The sequence below is a fragment of the Homo sapiens genome, chromosome 10 (assembly GCF_000001405.40).
Source record: "Homo sapiens chromosome 10, GRCh38.p14 Primary Assembly".
NCBI classification, from domain to species: domain Eukaryota; kingdom Metazoa; phylum Chordata; class Mammalia; order Primates; family Hominidae; genus Homo; species Homo sapiens.
Window position 1 is genome coordinate 11,497,209 of NC_000010.11, and position 20,539 is coordinate 11,517,747.

General features: G+C 37.3%; 1 protein-coding gene and 1 long non-coding RNA gene across 12 annotated transcripts in view, besides 1 other annotated feature; one reads left to right on the top strand and one right to left on the bottom strand.

The window, feature by feature from the left end:
• Positions 1-20,539, bottom strand: part of USP6NL (USP6 N-terminal like) — a 151,141-nt gene that overhangs the window by 36,699 nt on the left and 93,903 nt on the right. For all 11 annotated transcript variants that reach the window (XM_024448263.2, NM_001391960.1, NM_001391961.1 and 8 more), the window contains 2 exons: positions 12,387-12,467; positions 3,893-4,000 (listed from right to left, as the gene is read on the bottom strand). In XM_024448263.2, the coding sequence (XP_024304031.1) occupies positions 3,893-4,000; positions 12,387-12,425 (147 nt within the window). In that variant the 5' untranslated portion in view covers positions 12,426-12,467. The remainder of the gene's footprint in view (positions 1-3,892; positions 4,001-12,386; positions 12,468-20,539) is intronic.
• Positions 375-18,643, top strand: LOC105376410 (uncharacterized). Its single transcript, XR_007062053.1, has 5 exons — positions 375-468; positions 1,578-1,634; positions 16,796-16,872; positions 17,918-17,962; positions 18,535-18,643. It is a non-coding gene; the product is annotated as an uncharacterized LOC105376410 (long non-coding RNA).
• Positions 2,586-2,645: a silencer, noted in NCBI's record as "silent region_2128". NCBI's record gives its function as "represses an Ori minimal core promoter by ATAC-STARR-seq in GM12878 lymphoblastoid cells {active_cell/tissue: GM12878}" and the evidence as "EXISTENCE:reporter gene assay evidence [ECO:0000049][PMID:35858748]".

The window sequence follows — 20,539 nt, forward strand, 5'->3', positions numbered from 1 at the left end:
ACCATCTTGGCTAACACGGTGAAACCCCGTCTCTACTAAAAATGTGAAAAAAAATAACCGGGCATGGTGGCGGGCACCTGTAGTCCCAGCTACTCAGGAGGCTGAGGCAGGAGAATGGTGTGAACCCGGGAGGCGGAGCTTGCAGTGAGCCAAGATCGCGCCACTGCACTCCAGCCTGGGCAACAAGAGTGAGACTCAGTCTCAAAAAAAAAAAAAAAAGAAAGAAAAAACAAAAAAGATAATGGGCAAGTAAAGAGGTTTCAACTGTTGTTCTACAGGCTTCCTTGTAAAAGATGAGATGTCAAAACACAGGAAGAAAATGTTTGACAAGACATGATAAAATAAAATGCCTTAAAATAAAAGTTAATAGGAAGGCAGAAAAGACCCAAACGCATCTATAGTATCAGTTCCTCCAGAGGACAAGAAAATCCATCATAAAAAAGGCCTCATGGTGGAAGAAAAGCCCGGGTAAGTATGTAAAAAATAATAGGTCAGAAATATTATTTATGTCCTAAAATGTTTATAAGCTAATGCATGGAATGCAGGAATCAAACATATTTTTTACTCCTGAATGAAAAGAGGTAAACAATTTCTACAGTTACCTTTGAGATTAGGTGGGTTGAGATCCATGAGCGTCACAGTAATATAAAAATAAATACTTTATTTTAAAAAATGGGATCAAATGAACCCATAAACCTGAGGGCAGAAGTACAGTGGAAAGCATTTAGATAAAAAATTGGCATTATTGGCCAGGCACAGTGGCTCACGCCTGTAATCCCAGCACTTTGGGAGGCCAAGGCGGGTGGATCACGAGGTCAGGGAGTTCAAGACTAGCCTGGCCAGCATGGTGAAACCCCATCTCTACTAAAAATAGAAAACTTAGCCGGGCATGGTGGCGGGCACCTGTAATCCCAGCTACTCGGTAGGCTGAAGCAGAGAACTGCTTGAACCTAGGAGGTGGAGGTTGCAGTGAGCCGAGATCACACCACTGCACTCCAGCCTGGGCAACAGAGTGACACTCTGTCTCAAAAAAAAAAAAAAAAAAAAAAAAAATTAGGATTATCATTGTGAGTTTGGCCTACGAGATTACTGAGCCACACTAAGGCTGTGGATGAAGCTGTTTTCCACTATGGTCTGATCCTATACCATCTGTAAGGTACACTGCTAAATGCAAGAGAGAAAAATAAAAATGAGATAACAGAAGAGGAAAACATATTAGATGGGAGCAGCCAAGACAGCTTGGATAGTAAATCCTACCCCTGCCACTTGCTAACCTTGGGGTGAAAAGTCACCTAGCCTCGCTAAGCTCAGTTTCCTCATGTGTAAGATAAATATAATAAGGACAAAACCTGCATCTTGGCATGGTTGCAGGAACTAAATGAGGTAATTCCCATAGAGCACTTAGACATAAAAGTATTCAAACAATGTCAGCTCTCCTCATGGTAAAGTAGGTACTTTATTTTAAAATACGGCAATATGAAGCTTCAAGTTAAAACTAATCAGATCCAAATTGGAGGAGATCAGGGAAGGTCTTTGCAATGTGCTTTGAAATTCAGCAATCTTTTTCCTTCCTGTAGGAAACAAAGTCCCACCAAGACACCTCCTACTCCATGAAGTCTTCCTGAACCATAAAGGTGATTTCTTTTCTTACCCTCTTTTCAACTCCTACTTTTAGAGTATTTATCACAGACTATTATTAAATATTTCTATGCAACCATGTCTCCTCCAACCTAGAAGAAAAGATTCTTGCCACTGTACCTATTCATCTTCATACGTTCTTCAATACCACCCACAGAGCTTTATGGGGACAAGAAAGGACAAACAGGCCACCAGGGGAACTTGAAGGACTGAATGCTGATAATATGCTGGGTCCAAATAATTTCACCCATCTGAGAAAAGTCTCGGCAGATTAAGAGAAGGTTGTAGTTTTAGTCCTACTGAAGTTCCAGTTCGTGGAGGATGTGTGGAGAGAGAGAGAAAGAGTGGATGAGAAAGGAAAAAAAAGTTGGCTAAATAATGATGCTGGGGGAAACTCAAATAGTAAAAATAATATTGATGACAGTGTTGAAAATCATAGGCTTGAAGGTACTGGCAGGCAAGTCATTCTTTTGTTGTAGTTGCTGTCAGATTTTACTAAATGGTTCTCTTGTATTAACTGGCCATCTGATAATTTTATTCTACATAGAAAAAGTCTAAAATATAACTGAAAATTAGAGTACTATTAGCAGGCAAGCTGGGATGAATAGTGTCCCTCCAAAACTCATGTCCACCAAGAACCTGTGACTGTGACCTCATCTGGAAATGGGGCCTCTGCCGGGGTAATCAAGTTAGGATGAGGTCATCCTGGATGAGGGTGGACCCTACATGCAATAACTATTGTCCCTATCAGGAAAGACAGACACACATTCACAGGAGGGAGGATAGCCAGGTGATAAGGAAGACAGGGATGGAGCGATGCCAAAATGCACTAAGGATGGTAGGCCACCACCAGAGGCTGGAGGAGGCCAGGAAGATGCCTCCCTAGAGCCCTGAGAGAAAGTGTTGTCCTGCTGACACCTTAATTTTGGACTTCTGTCCTCAAGAACTGTGTGAGAGAGAGTTCTGTTGTTTTGAGCCGCTTAGTTTGTGGTACTTGGTTACAGCAGCCCTAAATGAATACAGCATGTAAATAAAGTGCTTTTTCTTTCATTTTCTACTTTCATTATTTAAACAAATACTAACAGAGCACCTACCATATGCTAGGCACACTGTACTAGGTGCTGGGGTTATATTTCATATTATGTTCTCTCAGACATCATGTCCTTTGCCAGGACATGGATGGAGTTGGAAGCCATTATCCTCAGCAAACTAACGCAAGAACAGAAAACCAAATAATGCATGTTCTCACTTATAAGTGGGAGCTGAATAATGAGACTATACGGGCACATGATGAGGAACAAAACATAGTGGGGCCTGTCAGCAAGGGGTGGAGGTGGGAGGGAGAGCATCAGGAAGAATAGCCAATGAGTGCTAAGGCTTAATACCTAGGTGATGGGATGATCTATGCAGCAAACCACCATGGCATGGCACACATTTACCTATGTAACAAATCTGCACGTCCTGCACATGTGTACCCCTGAACTTAAAATAAAAGTTGAAGAAAAAAAAAACAGCAATTTTTATTTTTTCCCATTTATTCCACATTAATTTTTTTGTACATATTTTCTAAGGAACATATTTCAAAATCTATGGGTCTAAGATTCTTAGATGTAAATCTCTTACTCCTTTCAAAGGTTAATAGAAAATTTAGGTTCAGAAAGGGTATAGCTACGAGATGACAAGGAGATACATTTAAAGCACCTAATTTAAGAAAAAAATTATTACTCAGTCAAAAGTTTAACTTTTTATTAATAAATAATAAAACCTAGAGATACCCTAATAATCTTGGGGCAAAGTCATCTTTTTTTTCATGCTAGAAGAAAAGAATCATACACAGCAGGTGTTGGTTAAACTGAATTCTGCTGCTGTTTCCCACGAACTCTCAAAGTGATACCACAAATCTCTCCATTAACACCATGTGGCAAACAAGCAGCTATAATTAGGTGTTAGTCCATTTTCCATGCAACCACGTCCTAACATTGATCATCTAATTACTTTAATTGATCATTTATGTATTTGAAAAGCACTTCATACTTATTGATACAGACAATAACATTTTTACTGAAGTATCTATTTAAAATTTAAGAAGTATTTTTGCAATCAAGAAAACAAATAGACCTCCAAAACCTCCAATGCGATAGAATTTTAATATAATTTTAAGTGATCATATGAATATCTTATGTCACCTTGAATGCTAAAAGAAATGGATTTTACTTTTTAATTTCAAAATAACAAGTTAGCTTTAGCTACTCACACTATACAGGTCCCTTGTTTCTTCTTTCATTTTAGGGATCTCAAGAAGGAGGGCCCAGACTTCACCTCTGAGCTGGAGTGGTATTCCTTTGTAAATTCGCCTATGAAACTTATTAAAAGAAAAAGAAACTGAAGGTTACAAACTGAAAAAAACTTAGATTAGTCTCTACAGTTAATCTTGCTAATATTTGTTAGCATTGTATTTTCAAAGCATCTATGGCAATTAATTAATACATTTCAACATGGCACATGGAGGTACTGTCATCTCTATTTTTAAGATTCTAACAGGGAGATACAGACAAAGAAGGAGAGAGTATAACAAGAAATTGTTAAGAATGCCCAATGCATTAGCATGTTCAGGCCATTACGGAAGTGTCCCTTAAGTGGCACAAAAGCAGTCAGTGCTCTTTTTAAAGGTGTGAACATCTGATTTACACATTCCCTGATGGTATAATTAACTTCTTACACACTTTCTGCCTTTTATCCCACACACCTAAAAGATGCTCCAAACAGCAAAAAGGTTGCCTTGTCCCCAAAATATCCTCATGGATTGTAGAGTGCTGACTCCTAATCTCTTTCCTGCCACCTTCTCACTGGTCTCTCAGAAGATACCAAGCTTCTCCTCATCTATCTGAAAACTCCAGTTAATCCTACTGGCCATCTTCAGTGTTCTCTCTTTCTCACTCTCATTTCCCCTCCCCTGCCCTTTCTCCTTCTTTTCTCTCCTCTTTTCAGTTCTTGCTATTTCTTCAGGAAAACTTTTTTCTTTTTCTTAAATGACATTGATGCTATCTGATAAGACAAAAACAACGATAAATCTTCATCAAGGGAAGACATCACTTTTGAATGAAATTAGGCATGAAACATTGGTATCATCAGCTGGGCGCAGTGGCTCACGCCTGTAATCCCAGCACTTTGGGAGGCCGAGGTGAGCAGATCACAAGGTCAGGAGATGGAGACCATCCTGGCTAACACAGTGAAACCCCGTCTCTACTAAAACTACAAAAAAATTAGCCGGGCATGGTGGTGGGTGCCTGTAGTCCCAGCTACTCGGGAGGCTGAGGCAGGAGAATGGCGTGAACCCGGGAGGCAGAGCTTGCAGTGAGCCGAGATTGCGCCACTGCACTCCAGCCTGGGCAACAGAGTGAGACTCCATCTCAAAAAAAAAAAAAAAAGAAACATTTGTGTCATCAACTCCCTCCATCCTTGAAAGTGTACTGCTATTGCCCTAAGAATCTTAAGTTCAATACACCTCTCCGTCTTCTTGTAATTAATTTTTTCCTCAAGTCTAATTACTCAAAATAACATAAAACCTATTACGGTCATCACAATGTTGTGCCTAACACTTTGAAACTTAAAAATAAATGTCCAAACAGGGAAATAATTAAATAAATTATAGCAGAAGCCCTTCAGGTAAGAACTAGTACTCTTATTATCATCGTAATATACTTGAATGTTATGGTTCAGAAAATAAGATGCCAGTTCTAATAATTGAAATATTGAAGAGCTACAATAAGTAGTACACAAGGCTTTAACTATTACACTACTGAGACTTTTTTAAACTAAAGCTTTAGTGACTAAGTCATAAAGCAGCTTTAAGAAACTTCGATCATGTGGTTGAAGGTGAGTGACAAAGATGAACAACTTTTATTATAAAACAGTGAATACTGTAAGGTTGATTCAAATAATGACTTACAAAATTTGTTTTGTTCTTTTGGTATAAATATAGTATGCCTCAAATTTGAAATTTCAGTAGATAGTGACTACAGTCATAGAAATTTTAATCCCATGCGATCACTTTAACTGGAGGAATATGTACAGAAAGGCTTCATGTTGACCATAAAACTAGACTCGCAACATTTGCCACATGCTCGACAAGCATGTGTGGTTAAAAACAAGTGAATTTAAGACTTGTTTTCCCAAAGGAAGTTATGATCTATACCACTTCACAATTATAGTAAACTGTGATTTTAAAGTAATATCATCCACAAAAAGTCACTTCAAATTATCTTCTAAATTTCTAGAGTAAAGATGTCGTACTGCAGGCAACTGATTTGAATAACAGAAAGTGTAGAAATCACTGCAAATGCTAAAAGTAAAATTTTAATAGGAACGTGTAATATGACTGACTTCAGTGGACCCGAACAAGTAAAATAATGACATTTTTAATGAGTAACATAAGCGCTCTGACACTTATTTCTTAAGCTATATTACTTGAAAAGTCTTCAGATATTATTTTGTTGCTGTTGCTCAATTCTGTACTCAATAATTGTACATAAGTTACTGTACATCATTTATCTTAAAGTTAAATCTACATTTAGGGAAAAAAACTCCATCAAATGGCTGTGATTACATTAAAAAGTAGGAAATCTGGGGGTGGAAATAAAAAATTAATGGTCCCCATACTAGTACAGAGCTAAAATTAAAAATCAGGTACATATGGGAAAGCTTAAGAAACATTGATACAGTGTCACTATCATCATCCATGGCAACAATTAATCCAAATTACTGAGCATTTACCATGCACAAGAAACTATTTTAAGCAACTATTTAACAACTATTAGAAACTACTTAGCAACTATTTAAATAAGAAACTATTTAGTTAATCTGTTTTATTTTATCCCTTCCCTTTAAGCTATTTATGGATATTTACCTCATTTAATTATACTAACAATTCTATAACTTTAATTATACCAACAACTCAATTTTACCAACGTAGAACGTGAATCACAAAGAGGTTAAATAACTTGCCCAAAAGCAAGCACAAGATGTTATAAAAGATGACTGATTTTACAGTTTGTAAAAAACAATGACCACGGCCCATGGTTTTGCCCAGCTGGACTTACTAAAATACATGGAATAGCGAACAGGAAAGTATCAAGAAAGCCCAAGAGCAGAAAACACTAAAATAATGATAATATAATTACACCAAAAACTTAAAAGGAATATAAAAACGATGTCTTTGGAATCCAAGCAGTAGGAGGTGACAAAACAAAACATGAACACAAAATCACATATAGCAGAAAAAGAATTAAATTATAAGACCCTAAAATAAAAATTTTCTAATTATGCTGTTTTTCAAATACTTGTACTGTTACATGACAGACTAACTTATTACAGTTACATATCTTTCTTCACAAATTTTTAACTATCATAGAAGTTTTACAAACTCTATAAAACAAAGTGGGAATTACCTCCAAACACAACAGTTTGGATGAAATTTGCTTATTCCCCAGAACAGTAGTCCAGTTTACAGTTGTTGATAATCCTTCAACTGGCAAAGTGGCATTTCATCTTTTCTACATCAGCCCCATAATGTAGGTTCAGCGGGTGGTTTCCACTTAAAATGTAAGTAAAACAAGATACAGAAGAAAAGTATCTGCCCTAGGTCAAAAAGTTCTACCTTCTTATTACAAATTCGGGGACTTTCTGCCAAATCACACTGTCTTCTAAAAATTACCGCTTTATTAAAGTGGCAGAATTTATCAGTAAAAAGTGATAGCTGGTTGTCCTCAACTCATAAACGAACATCATTCATTCATTCTAAAATGATAACTTGTAATGAATGCCCGCTTTGTGGCCAACGCTTATGAGGTTCTGTGGCTACAAACATGAAAAAGATCTGTGGAGCTCACAGCGTACTGGGAAGAGAAATACGTAAGCTGATAATTATAACTTAAACAGAGAATCCTTTATCATAAAACACAGTCACATACATGAGCTGCTAACAGTGCTGAGCACCATGCCCTGACAGGGGAGGTGCTGGTAGAGACAGACTCCCCAGTGAGCCAGAGTGGTAAAAGAAGGATGGTGGGCACCACACTGTCGAGATCTGTGAGAGAAGCTATCAGGGAGTGGCTAGCCCTTCTACAAAAAGATACATACAATTCTAAGAGAGAACTAGAAAAGGGTTAGGGACAAAGTTGCTGGGGTGAGCGCCATGCATCTGCTGTGATGGTCACTTCTTATGGGTCCAACACAGGGACTGTCATCCTGAGCTTATCTTAGAGATAACAGAAGAAAGGAGGAACTAATCCTGTGTGAGAGATGGAAAGGAGTTCCTTTAGAGAAAATGACAATAAACTCAATACTGAATAGGAATGTGCCAGGAAGGGAAAAGTGGGGGTGGGAGCAAGGATGTGGATAATGATGAGTCCAACAGTAATAATGACAATTGTTAAAGAACACTTTCTGATTATTTATTATGAGCTGACACTATGCTATGTGTTTCTAAATTAATTCATTCATTGTAATATTACTGCATCCCTAAAAAGGTAGGTACTATTATTAACATATCCATTTCACAAATGAAAAAATTAGGACATAGAAAGGTTAGGTAACTAGCTCAAAAGAAACTGTGTTATAAGAACTCAAATTCAGTCTGAGTCTGACTTCAGAATCCATACTCTTAACAACCATGATAAAGAACTTCTACATATTGAATTGTAACATTTCAGTATTCCAATTTGAAAAGTATCACCTTTAAGATTCTTCTACAAATTTGTTTCATAGATATGATACATAAAATCTTTAAAAAGTCTACAGTAGTCCCACAGAAACATTTAAAAATCTATGGACTTAAAAAAAAAATTCCAACAAATGACTAATGTTTTCAGTACCTTTTTCTAAACCTTGGTGATTAAAACAGTGACAAGTGTGCAATCCACATCATTATGACTGCCAGTGAGTAAACTTTTCAGCCCAGCAAGCCTGGCTGAGTTTTGTGCGAGTGTGCGCCATGAAACAGAGGCTCACTCGAGCTGCTTATGCCTTTCACTGCCTCTCCATTTTCTCTCATCATCCCTGCTCCACTGGCTCCTTTGTTTCTGCCTTCAAACAGCAACAGGTCTCCCAAATCTGCATCTAAAAAAGTTTTAAACCATCCACAAGGCCCTACTGTGTTTTATAACTACATTCTACTTCCCTGACAGACACCAAAAGGGAAAGCTGGCATAAAAGATGGTACAGTTAAATGAGCTCTAAGTCTGGACATTCTTTTGCTTGTTGCTAACAAGCTGTGTGACCTTAAGAAATTTATTTCTAGGCAATATGCCTCCATTTTCCAGTCAGTTAAAAAAAAATGGTTAATATGGTCTGAAAGGTCCATTCAATTATTTGACCAACAAAAAAATATGTGTATTTGTAGAAGGCACTTTGCTGTGACATAGCTTAGACACAAGTATATCATGACCAGTTAAATCATAATGGTCTCCACTTAACAGAGATAACTTCACTTCATAGACTATATTTTTAAAATACAGGCTGGGCACAGTGGCTCATGCCTGTAATCCCAATGCTTTTGGAGGCTGAGGCAGGAGAATCATTTGACACCAGGAATTCGAGACCAGCCTGGGCAACATAGCAAGACCCTATCTCTAGAAAAATAAAATTTTTTTTTTAATTAGCAGGCATGGTGGTGCTTGCCTACAGTCCCAGCTACTTGGGAAGCTGAGGCAGGACAATCACTTAAGCCCAGGAGTTGCAGGCTGCAGAGAACTATAATTGCGCAACTGCACCCCAGCCTGGGCAACAGAGACCGTGTCTCTCAAAAAAAAACAAAAAAATTTACAATACTACTGTACATAGGGAGGCAGTCACTGTGAGAACAGAGGCAACACAAACAACCTTAACAGAATTTTTTTTTTTTTTTCATTAAAGCTTGGGTTCTAAAAATCCAAATATTCCCTACCAGGGCTATATTTTTATTTCAAATATTTTTAGAATTTCTCTGTATTACTACTATATAAGTAAGGAATCTGTGGAGAGAAAACATACTTCTCCTTGAAAGACAAGAAAAAAAATGCTAGTTTTTTTACTTGAATGCAATTTAAAACTAGGTGTGAATTGAAAGCAGTAATTCTTTTAGAAGGTTCATTCTGTTTCACACCAAATTGGGCCACATATATCATCAAATGATTCTAGCATTATAGTTATCGGAGAGTGCTTCAAAATTATACTTCAAAGACATGGCACTGCTAAAATCTCACTAAATGGGAACTGCATTAGCCAGAGTTGCTGTCAGAATAATAGCCCAGTAGAATTGTTCGTTTTTAGAGAGGCTTACGTACTTTCATAGGCATATGTAGACCACAGAATAACAAAATATTCATTCTACAAATATTTTATTAGAATGAATGTGAGATTAAAGGATAGGTGCAATGCATTGAAATCTACCCTGTAATTACCACTTGAGCAATCTTTCCACAAAGATGTAAAGTAGTTGTCAAATGTAGGCCAATCTGAGACTGCATAATATTAAACAAGAGAACAGATGTTGTAACTAATATTCTACTTTGAAGTGTGTCCTCTTAAAAACATCCTGAGTTCTAAACCTAATGCTAAAACAGACAGTTAATAAAATCAACCACCCCAAATGAACTCACCCCTGATGAAAACAAAGTAATATAAGAGCCTAAGGATATTTAGTATGCTCAAAAAGAAAAGGCTCATTAGCTCTGTAAGATACCCATGTCAAAAAGATTCCCATGGTTAAGTCGGTTTCATGTGATTTAAGATCCCTCTTAAAAATTCATACCTCATATTAAAGACTAAATAATCCTACAGTAAAGAAAGAAATCTTGCTTAATTTTTTTTTAGTTCAGGTTTTCCCAACTTTATTTAACCAGAGAGCCCTTTCCTCATTTAATAATAAGCAACACATACTGACTGCATACTAAACGCCTGGCACTATTCTATGCTTTACATCAACTAACTTATTTAATCCTCACAACAAGCCTAATGGGGTAGGTAGTACAGCAGAAAAAAGTTAAATGCCTTTCCCAAGGTCATATGGCTAGGAAGTGGCAGAGCTGGGGTTTGACCCATGATAGTCTGCCTCTAGAATCTGCCTCTTCACCATCAGGCTATACTACTGCTTCTGTGGAACTAGTAGAACCCAAGAAACTCATGCTCCCTGGAATTCTCATCAGCAAATGTTGACATAAGATAATCTGTATCTATACAAAAAGGGAAAAGAAAGGATTATACTGAAAAAAGTGTGAGGAATGGACAAAAATCCCAACAGTTAACTCAGTTGTGTTTTGCTAGTAGGACTAAGTTAGATTTCCTTTTTTTCCTTTAAAATGTTTTTATTGTTCAGCCTTCCTTCAAGAAATTAATAGGGGTAGTTAACATTTACTGAATGCTTGTTCTATGTAAGGTACAATGCTAAGTGCTTTACATGCATTAAATCATGAAATCTTCATCCCTTTGAAATGGGACACTATTATCTCCATTCTGCAGATGAGGAAACTGAGGCTTAGACATCAGTGGTTCTCAAAATATGGCCCATGAAACCAAAACGATTTTCATAATAAAACTATTTCTTTTTACAGTGCTGACTTTTGCACCGATCATAAAAAAGCTATAGTGAAACTTTTGCACTGATGATAGAAAAGCTATGGTGGTAAAACTACCGGCTCTTGGAACTAATCAAGGCAGCAGTAGTGCTGTACTGTGGAATTAGTGATTCCTCACTCTGTGTTTTAAAAAGTCAGTTTAACTTAAGAATGCCCTCGATGAAGCAGTAAAAAGTGTTAACTTGATTAAATATCAACCCTTGACAGAGGTCTTATTAACGTAACGAGCAGTGACGAGACGGGAAGTGCATACGGAGCTCTGTGCTGCACAACCAAGTGCAATGACTGTGTCAAGAAAAAGTGCTTAGGATGAAATTCTTTGAATCATGAACATTTTCACAAACCACTGTTATTACTTGAAAGAATAAGCAACTGCCACTCAAGCACTGGGTATCTGGCAGACATTATCTCAAAAATATCTTAAATGAGCCTGTCACTTGAAGGAAGATAACTGACACAGTATTTATTGCCACTGATGATATTTGACCTTTCAAATAAAACTTAACAGCTTTGGAAAACTTCTACCACCAGGAGCTTGACATCTTCTCACTGTTTAAAGACTTTTCTGATGAGACGCATGGTGATATTAATATATGTATGTATTTTTCTCTAACTAACTTAGCACAAACTCAACGCAAGGCAAAAACATTAAAGGGGAGGTTTGCTAGAAGCTTTTGAAAAAGGAGATTGCTCCTGCTTGAGGGAATGCTTTCAGAGGCCAGCCCTCTCTCTTTCTGAGCAGTATGATCTGTGGATACAAAGCCTGGAACTGCTCCAGTGATTCTGACCTCAAAGGGAAGCCAACCTCAAGATGGGGCTGACAGTGCAGAAGGCAGAGAAGAGATGGAAGAAACTATGGCACAGGCAACTTCATTAAGCAGCTGAATTAAATCACTCCTGAAACCCATCCCACCTCTGAACCATTCAATACAGACTTAAATGTCGAAACCAATCCGAATCGGGTATTACGTTACTTACAATATAAAAACTCCTAATTCGAGGCATACTGCTAAATTAAACCAAAATTTCAAAACCAAATATGAATGTAACACTCTTATAATTAAAGAAGAACTTCTACTATGAAAATCCACATTGAGTTTATATAGTTTCATATGGAAAAACATGATTTTAAATTACCTTTTCAGTGTTCTTGTATTTTTCCCATCCTTTCAGCATTTTCAGCCATTTGGTAGTTCTTTCAATTTCCAGGTGCTTTTGCTAAAATAAAATTGAAATTCATTGTTATTGTTGTTCGTTTCTTTACTTATGAGTTATAAAAAACTTCAAAGAAAATGCTTCTAAAAAAGGAACTAAAAAAGTTATGCTATATTAGCAGATATCCTAACTTGTAAAAAGTTGGATAATATCAGAACTGTATCAATACTAGTCCATAGCTAAAGTTAAGATTAATAGGAAATGCTCTCTCTAGGTAAAAAGATATTATTTAAATTTTCCAAGACTTGAAAAGTAACCAAAATATTGTGTATTCTACAAATTTAAACAAAATTTTAAAAAATATTTTGAAATATTTTACAAAGCAACAAAAACACTACTTTGAAATTTAATTCTCTTCTTTCTTATTTTACTGAATTCTAGTATATTGTTGTTTTTAGCGAGAGTTTTTTAAAGGAAAAGTGGCTGTTTATTTATTTAATGGAAAGATTAATGTGTAAGTAGCCTTATGCTAGAGGGAAACTATTAAAAAAAATAAAACTAAGTACTAGTTGCTGCCCTAAAGAAATTTGACCAGGTGCTAAGGACAATGGACAAGGAACACACTGCGTTGTGGCAGGCACTGGCACAGGCAGGAAGGGCCACGGCAGAAGGGGCAGTCAAATCCACCTAGGCATGCCAGAGAAAATGATCCCAAAATGAGGAACAGAGAGATTATTAGGGTTTGTTTTTTTTTAATCAAATGCAATGTGGGAAAGAATGTTCCAGGCAGCCTTGAGAATGCATGTATTTCTGAGACAGCAGGGGCCGACAGCAGCTCCAAAGGGTTTACAAAAAAGCATCAGGACACCAGGCTGCCAAAGTTGGGAGAAGTCTCTTGCGTGCCCACTCAAGTGAAATTCAGGGGCAAGGCTGCGGAATGGGGAAAGTGAGACGGAAAATGCTCGCTCTTCACTTGTTTGGTTTCCAGGAGAAGGAATATTTTTTCCTAAGTACCTGGGCCCATGAGTAGTAAGTATATGAATAAAAAGCAATGAAAATACAAGTCTACTCAGAAAAGAAAATCATTCTGAGGATACATTTTATACTCAAGGATGCATGCTCACTGCAACCCCACGAGGTAGGTATGATTGTCACCATTTTACAATGAGGAAACAGGCACAAAGGGCTTAAGGGACTTGTCCCAAGTCACCCCTCTCATAAGTGGTAGAAGACGGATTCAAAGCCAGGCAAGCCTGGCTCCAGGACGTACACTCTGAGCCACCACATCTCTGGCTCCCATCCTGTCCTCTGCCCTAGTTCAGGCAATCATCATTCCTGGATGGAAGCAGCAGCTCCTTACTGACTGTCTGCAATCCAGCCTCAAACAGGCAGACATTATGCTGGCAGATGGCATATATGCCTCACCACCACTATTTTTAGACCTAAAAGTACATAAAATTCCAAAGAAAATCCTGAATTTAGGAAAAGTTATCTCACCAATGAGAATATTTTTATAGAATTTCAATTTTAGGCATATTCTTAAAACTCTCAATTACCTAACTCTTTTTAAAATTTTTGATGGGTTTCTCACAATAAAAGATGAGCACTCATGAGAAAAAGATATTCTTTTATAATTCGTATTTTTCAAAAGGCTAAGTATATTTTCCTCATTATATTATTAGTGATAAACTGTTGCAGATGGTTCCAGAAATATGTTTAATTTTAAAACTCAGTGGGGCACTGAAATCTAATTAATGTTTCTGCTAAATGTGACTTTAGAGAAGGCCAAGCTGTGAAAAATTAAGATTGATCTAAATTGCCATTTGGTATTTTTTGTTCTTCTGCACTTTCTCCCCTGACTTCTTCAAAGCATAATCCTTTTTTCCACCAACAGGAAAACACCAAATAATTCAAGCCAACCCAAGAGTATAACAACATACACTTTGCCAGGAACAACCCTGCTGAGATCTAGCAGGTCTCTTGCTATCTTTCATTTTTATGACCATGAATTATCAATGAATCACTTTAGGAAGCAGTCATTTTTTTAAAAGCACACTTTTGAATTCTAATGCTTATCATATATACAGATTATTTTAAATGCTATACATTCCCACGCTGCAAGAACAAAACACACACATACACATACAAAAAAAATTAAGGATCATTAAGTATGCTTTTCCCTACAGCAAAAAATAAAATAAAATAATATATATTATACACACACACACACACACACACCCCTTGGGAAGCTATAGGATCCGAAAATTATGTATCAGTATTCAATCAAGTTTAAGTGCTAACTCCATAATGCTGTCCATTCAACAATACCAAACTTGAATGCACATGAAAGTCTCTTTCCCCCAATCATGAATCTATAATTCATAGATGAAATATACTTTCTCACCAAAGATGCCGAAGCTAACTATTCCAGCAACTGTTTTGAAGAAGTAACTGAAAACATATTCATATGTGACAAATGTGAACTTAAGTGCCCCCAAAAAATAAGCTAGGGAATGTCATCTTGCCATAGACTCAACCACAATAAGACAAAACTGGAATATAATAGTGTATTAGAAACTCCACTTAAAGTTCAACAGAGACTTTAAAGTCGACATATCCGAAACTATTTTCCCAAACATGCTGCTAGTACCCTTCTGTCCCTGACATGAATTAACAGCATCACTACCCACTAAGCCCTCCTTCTCTCTCACTTCCCAGCCCCAAACCACACTCTGCTGGGTCCATGTTCTGTCTCCTGCTTCCATCCTGTCCTCTTCCCCAGTTCAGGTAATCAGAGTTCCTAGATGAAAACAGAAGCTCCCTGCTGGGATCCTTGTCTTCACTCCAGCCTCCACACTGCTACCACAACCCTTCACACATGTCCCAGTTTATAATCCTTCAATGGCTACCCATTTTCTAGAAGTAAAGTTCAAATTTCTTAGCACAGCACACATGAGCAGCCTTTCAGAATGTGGCCCCAATTCACCTTCCAGTTCTACCTCCTGCTACTTCTGTGATCTGGCCACCATGAACTATTTGTCATTCCCATACACAATGCATTTTCAGCCTTTATGACAAATGTTTCCTATTTGTCTGCCTGTCATGTTTTCTCACCATCATTTGGTAAAATCCTATGCATCCTCTCAAGACCTAGGTCAAATGTCCAACGCCTGGAACCTTTCCCAGATCGCTCCATGTTCCAAGCAAAACCAACTGTTCCCTTAGCATTCCATGGCATGGATTCAAGACCCAGATGACCTGGGTTCAAATCTGAGTTCTGTCCCATACTGTTTCATTTGGGGCAAACTACCTAATCTTTCTGTACCTTAATTGTCTCATCTATAAAACGAGAATTATTTTGATCATTGTTACAGCACCTAACACCTGTGTTCTAGTTGGCCTAAATGCCCAAATTGTATTATCAAAGTATGAACTCCTTGACTACAGAGACTGGATATGTTCATGTTTTTATCACCTAAAACAGTGGTTGTTATATAAGAAAAGTTAAACATTTAAAAATTAAACAGAATTTACATAAGAAAAAACAACTGAACCCTATGAAGGAATTAATAACATTCTGTGGTCTCAAGGTGGAGGGGTGGGAAGTAGAATGAATATGAACAGATAGACTGAAACCAGAATGTTATTTCTGATAGCAATGTGATCACTGTAATACAGAAGTAACCAGAAGTTAATAATATCCCGTATGTGGCAGAATGGTAGAAATGGAATTATTCCATCATGCGGGTAACACTTTTCAAAGTGTTGCCAAAAGGCAGAGCTGCTGATGTTAACAGCCTATATGAAACTGATATTAAATAATTCTGTTGGCTTCATACACAAACATCTTAGTTCTCTCAATTTGTATTTTGAAATATTTCAAACCTACAGAAAAGTTGAGAGAATAGTATGTCACATACTTATAAATGCTTCATGAGACCCACAGATTATTAACCTTTTGCTAGATTTCATTTATACTATTTAGGTTTTTAGGGGGAACTGATCATTAGACAATCACGACATGAATAGTTCATCCCTAAATATTTCAAGTACGTATCGCCTAAGAATGAAAACACATTATCCTACATGATTACAGTACCATTATATCCAAGAAATTTAAAACTGGTTATTACCTCATAAGCAGCCTATATACCAAATTCCCCACTTGCCCCAAGACTGTTCTTTATAGCTGGTTTTTTCTGTGGTGTGGGCAACTCGGAATCCAATCATGCATTCGGCATTGCCTTTGCTGGCAGGTCCCCAAAGTGCCTTGGCCTTTGTCTCTGATGACACTGATGTTTTGAAAAGTCAAGGCCACACTATCTGGCTTTGTGTGATTGGCTCCTCTGGATTTCAGCAGGATTATCACCCCATTATGTTGTCTTTCCCAGCACATCACATCAGATGCACACGATGCCAAGCTGTACCACTTCTAGCGATGATGCTACAGTTTCATCATTCAGTAAAGGTTAGTATTTGCCCAATTTTTCCATTAATAGAGAAATTCCCTTTTGTAACTAATGAATAATCCACGTGATATACTTTGAGACAGGGCGCATATCATGTTCCTTAACAACTCTACCCAATGGTCTCATCATCCGTTGATGATTCCTACCTGAATCAATTATGGGGCGCATATCATGTTCCTTAACAACTCTACCCAATGGTCTCATCATCCACTGATGATCCCTACCTGAATCAATTATGACTGTGATGGTGGTAAAATGGTGTTTGGGTTTTTTTTTCTATCATTCCTTCTATATTATGAAATGACATTATTAACTTTGGACTTTAAAAAGTTTTTCTTTTCTAGCTCCTCCCCTTTCAATATCACTATAATCTAAAGAATTATTTGATTCCATGATTATAATCCATTATCATCATTATTCTTTTTGAACCTCAAACTGTCCCCTAGGAGGTGGCTTAGACTACTTCCCGTCTGAGTGGCAATGTCTCCCCTTCAAATTTGTCCTTTTGATATGCCCTATTTGTCTTTTACCATTTCTTAGTGTTCTGGTACAAAATGATTTTGGCCCACCTTATACTCTCCCTATCCCAACCTGCAGTCAGCCATCAGTTCAAGAACCTGTGATTCCCTGTAGTGGAGAAGATGTTCAAAACTAAATTTTGGGCACTGGATGTGCTTCTCACCAATGAAATTTTTATAATTGTATAGAAGACTCTGACATAAGAAAATTCTACTTCTCTCAGAATGTCAGAGCAACATACAGTCAAGGAAAATAATGCAAAGGCCATCATCTCCACCTCTACTCCCTCTGCTATCTCTCCATTACCTCTACTAGCTAAGAAAATGCTACACTGCTGTATACTTTTCTTCCCATGAGCTGTTTTCAGGGAAGGGCTAAACTTCTGTTTAAAGTTTATGATATAATACCCTATTGTCTTAAGTTGATCTTGCCTCTAAGTCAGAACTGGCCTCTCCTACTGGGGCAAAGAAGGTCGAAGGATTAAAACTGGAACCAATATCTTCTTTGTTACCTCTCAACCTCCAGTGATCTGAGACTACGTTTTCAACCCTGTACAGGACCAGCTGAATAGTAAGTATTCAATAATCATTTGTTGAATCATCTACATAGCTTTGTCTTCTATCTGGTCCAAGGCCCTTCCCACTATTAACATGGCTAATAATTCAGATAGTAAAGGCTAGACACGTACACAATGCATGGATGGATATTACATAGCCTTCTCTTGTAGAATAAGAAATCTTGGGATTTGCTCAGATTCAAGTCTTCAGATGCTTTAATGGCTCTATTTGAACATTACTGCGTATTGTGATATAATGAGAACTATATGATCTCTGCCCCCAGTTCCCTCCTGGAGGTTGTGGGAACCTCTAATTTATAGCCCTTCACAGGTGATAACCTAAGACTTTCAACTGGCTTCTGACGTGAGAGGCAATCTTATGGAAGTGAGCTCTTAACCTGTGAGGTCTGCACCTACTCTGGTTAGTGTCAGAATTGAGTTAAATTGTAGAGTTAAATTTGGGGTCCACTTGGGGAAAAACCGACACATATCTTGGTAACCGGAAGTATTCTGTGCTGTGTCAAGTATGAGAGGAGGAAAAACAGTTTGGTTTTTCCCTATCTTAACAGTTTGTTTTTCGTTTCAGTTAGGACTCATGAGTGAGGACAAAGTTGATGGGAGTCAGGCATGCCTAGACCTCACCAGCAGAGGTCAGAAGAAGACAAGAAGTACAAAAAGAAACGTGTCTTTTTACAGAACACCCTGACATTGGAAAGTCTATCAGTCATGTATCTTGAATAAGATTTCATACTACATTAAATTAAGATTTTTTTGATATAAATAGGTTCCAATATCCTATACACCATGCAAAAGATTGCACTACATGAAGGGATAGCTGAATCTATGAAAATTCATAGTTTTACATATCTATTCTTCCTTATTAAAATCATCAATAAACTCAAAGAAACAATATAATCCATTATTAATACAGTTCTCTACAGAGTAAATATAATGTTTGTTTATGTGCTTAAGTGCCTGTTTGGGGGAAACCAAAGCACTTAGTAAACACCAATACTAATCCTCTTAGGAAGGACTGTATACCACTCTCCCTATTTTAAACAGAGAACTGCCTTATGTAAAATAATACATTGGCAAAGCTGGAAGGAAAGCTGTGATTACCCGACTATGCACTAGTGTACAAGTCTTCCCCAATGGAAATAAGAGCATGCTTCAAGTGTATGCTCTATAAAGACTGCAGACCAGCAAGGCTATCATTTCTAGACTTTATTCCATTTTAAAAATGTAAACTTTTTTTAATTCATTTCCTGGAAATGGTAAAACTTGGCTACTAGGACTAGGCAGTCACCACAGAACACAAGAACTTAACTCAAACCTGAAGAACTTGGGGGAAATCCTGATAAACTAAGAGGCTTCCAGCCTTAGGCTGTTTTGCATGTGGCTAAGTTCTCATTCCACTTTAAAGAAACCAAAACTGTAAAAGGCAAGTCATGCAATATGAGTGCAGTTTCCGTAAAAAAGGCCTTAGGGAAACCCAATCAACAGCCTCTGAATCCTGTCCCCACCCCCAAATAAAAGACAAGTGAATATAAAGTTATATCTTATTTTAAAATAAATTACTAAGGTACGCATAGATCATTTTTTAGTGATTCCCCATTAAATTAAACTTTCTGGAGAAAACAATCAATTAATTATAAGCCTAACTGCATTAAGAGGTCATTTACTATATAGGCACATCTCTTAAAAAACTAATAAAAAATTTTGAAAAACAATATTCCTCAAGCATGCATCCTCCTGTGTCTGATATTTCTTCTTTTCTTCACCTCCCCATTTATTGAATCATTTAAATCACCGGTCTGAAGACTTTCAAACTTTCTGGATCAGGAAATTACAAAAGGGGGAGGGGAATGTTGGAGAGAGAAGTCAATACTGGACTGCCAGATTTTTATTTTGCCAAATGTGGATATCTTTTGTTAAAGATATCTTCCAACTCTTTCTGATTTCTCAAATAAAAGACACTGTAACACTTGAAGGGACAATCTCTGCCAGTCTTTATGTCAATATATTTAGTTTTACAAAGAATCCATTACATTAATTCAGCCCAAAAGAGAGATCATAGTCAGAGTGTGAGAACAAATCCTTACATTCCCATTCAAGGTGGACTGCCACAAACTTCACAGGGGCATTTACCAACTTCTCACTATTACTCATTATTTCCTTCTCAGTCATTCCTCAGCTACAAAGAATCTGCCTTTCCCCTCCACCTGCACTACCACTGCATTTCACATATACTATGGCCCCACCAAGCCACCAGTCGTCTCCTACCTGTAGTCACTGGATGTGAGCTTCTCCAAGGCAGAAACTATGTCTTATTTAATCCTAGCATTCTATGCAGAACTAGGCCAGTGCTTGATACATAGTTGCTATTCAATTATGTAGATATTAAAACAAAGGTATTCATTTGCTGAAACCTCTAGGTTATGATACTGAGAGAGAACCAGACAGTCACAAGAGAATTCAACTGCAGGTCTGCCTATAGGGTTCTCTATATACATAAAATGGCAATTTCATCTACATCTTAAGGTTTTGCTACAGTTTTGATTTTCAGAAAAGTTTGATCCCAGGAAGATTTT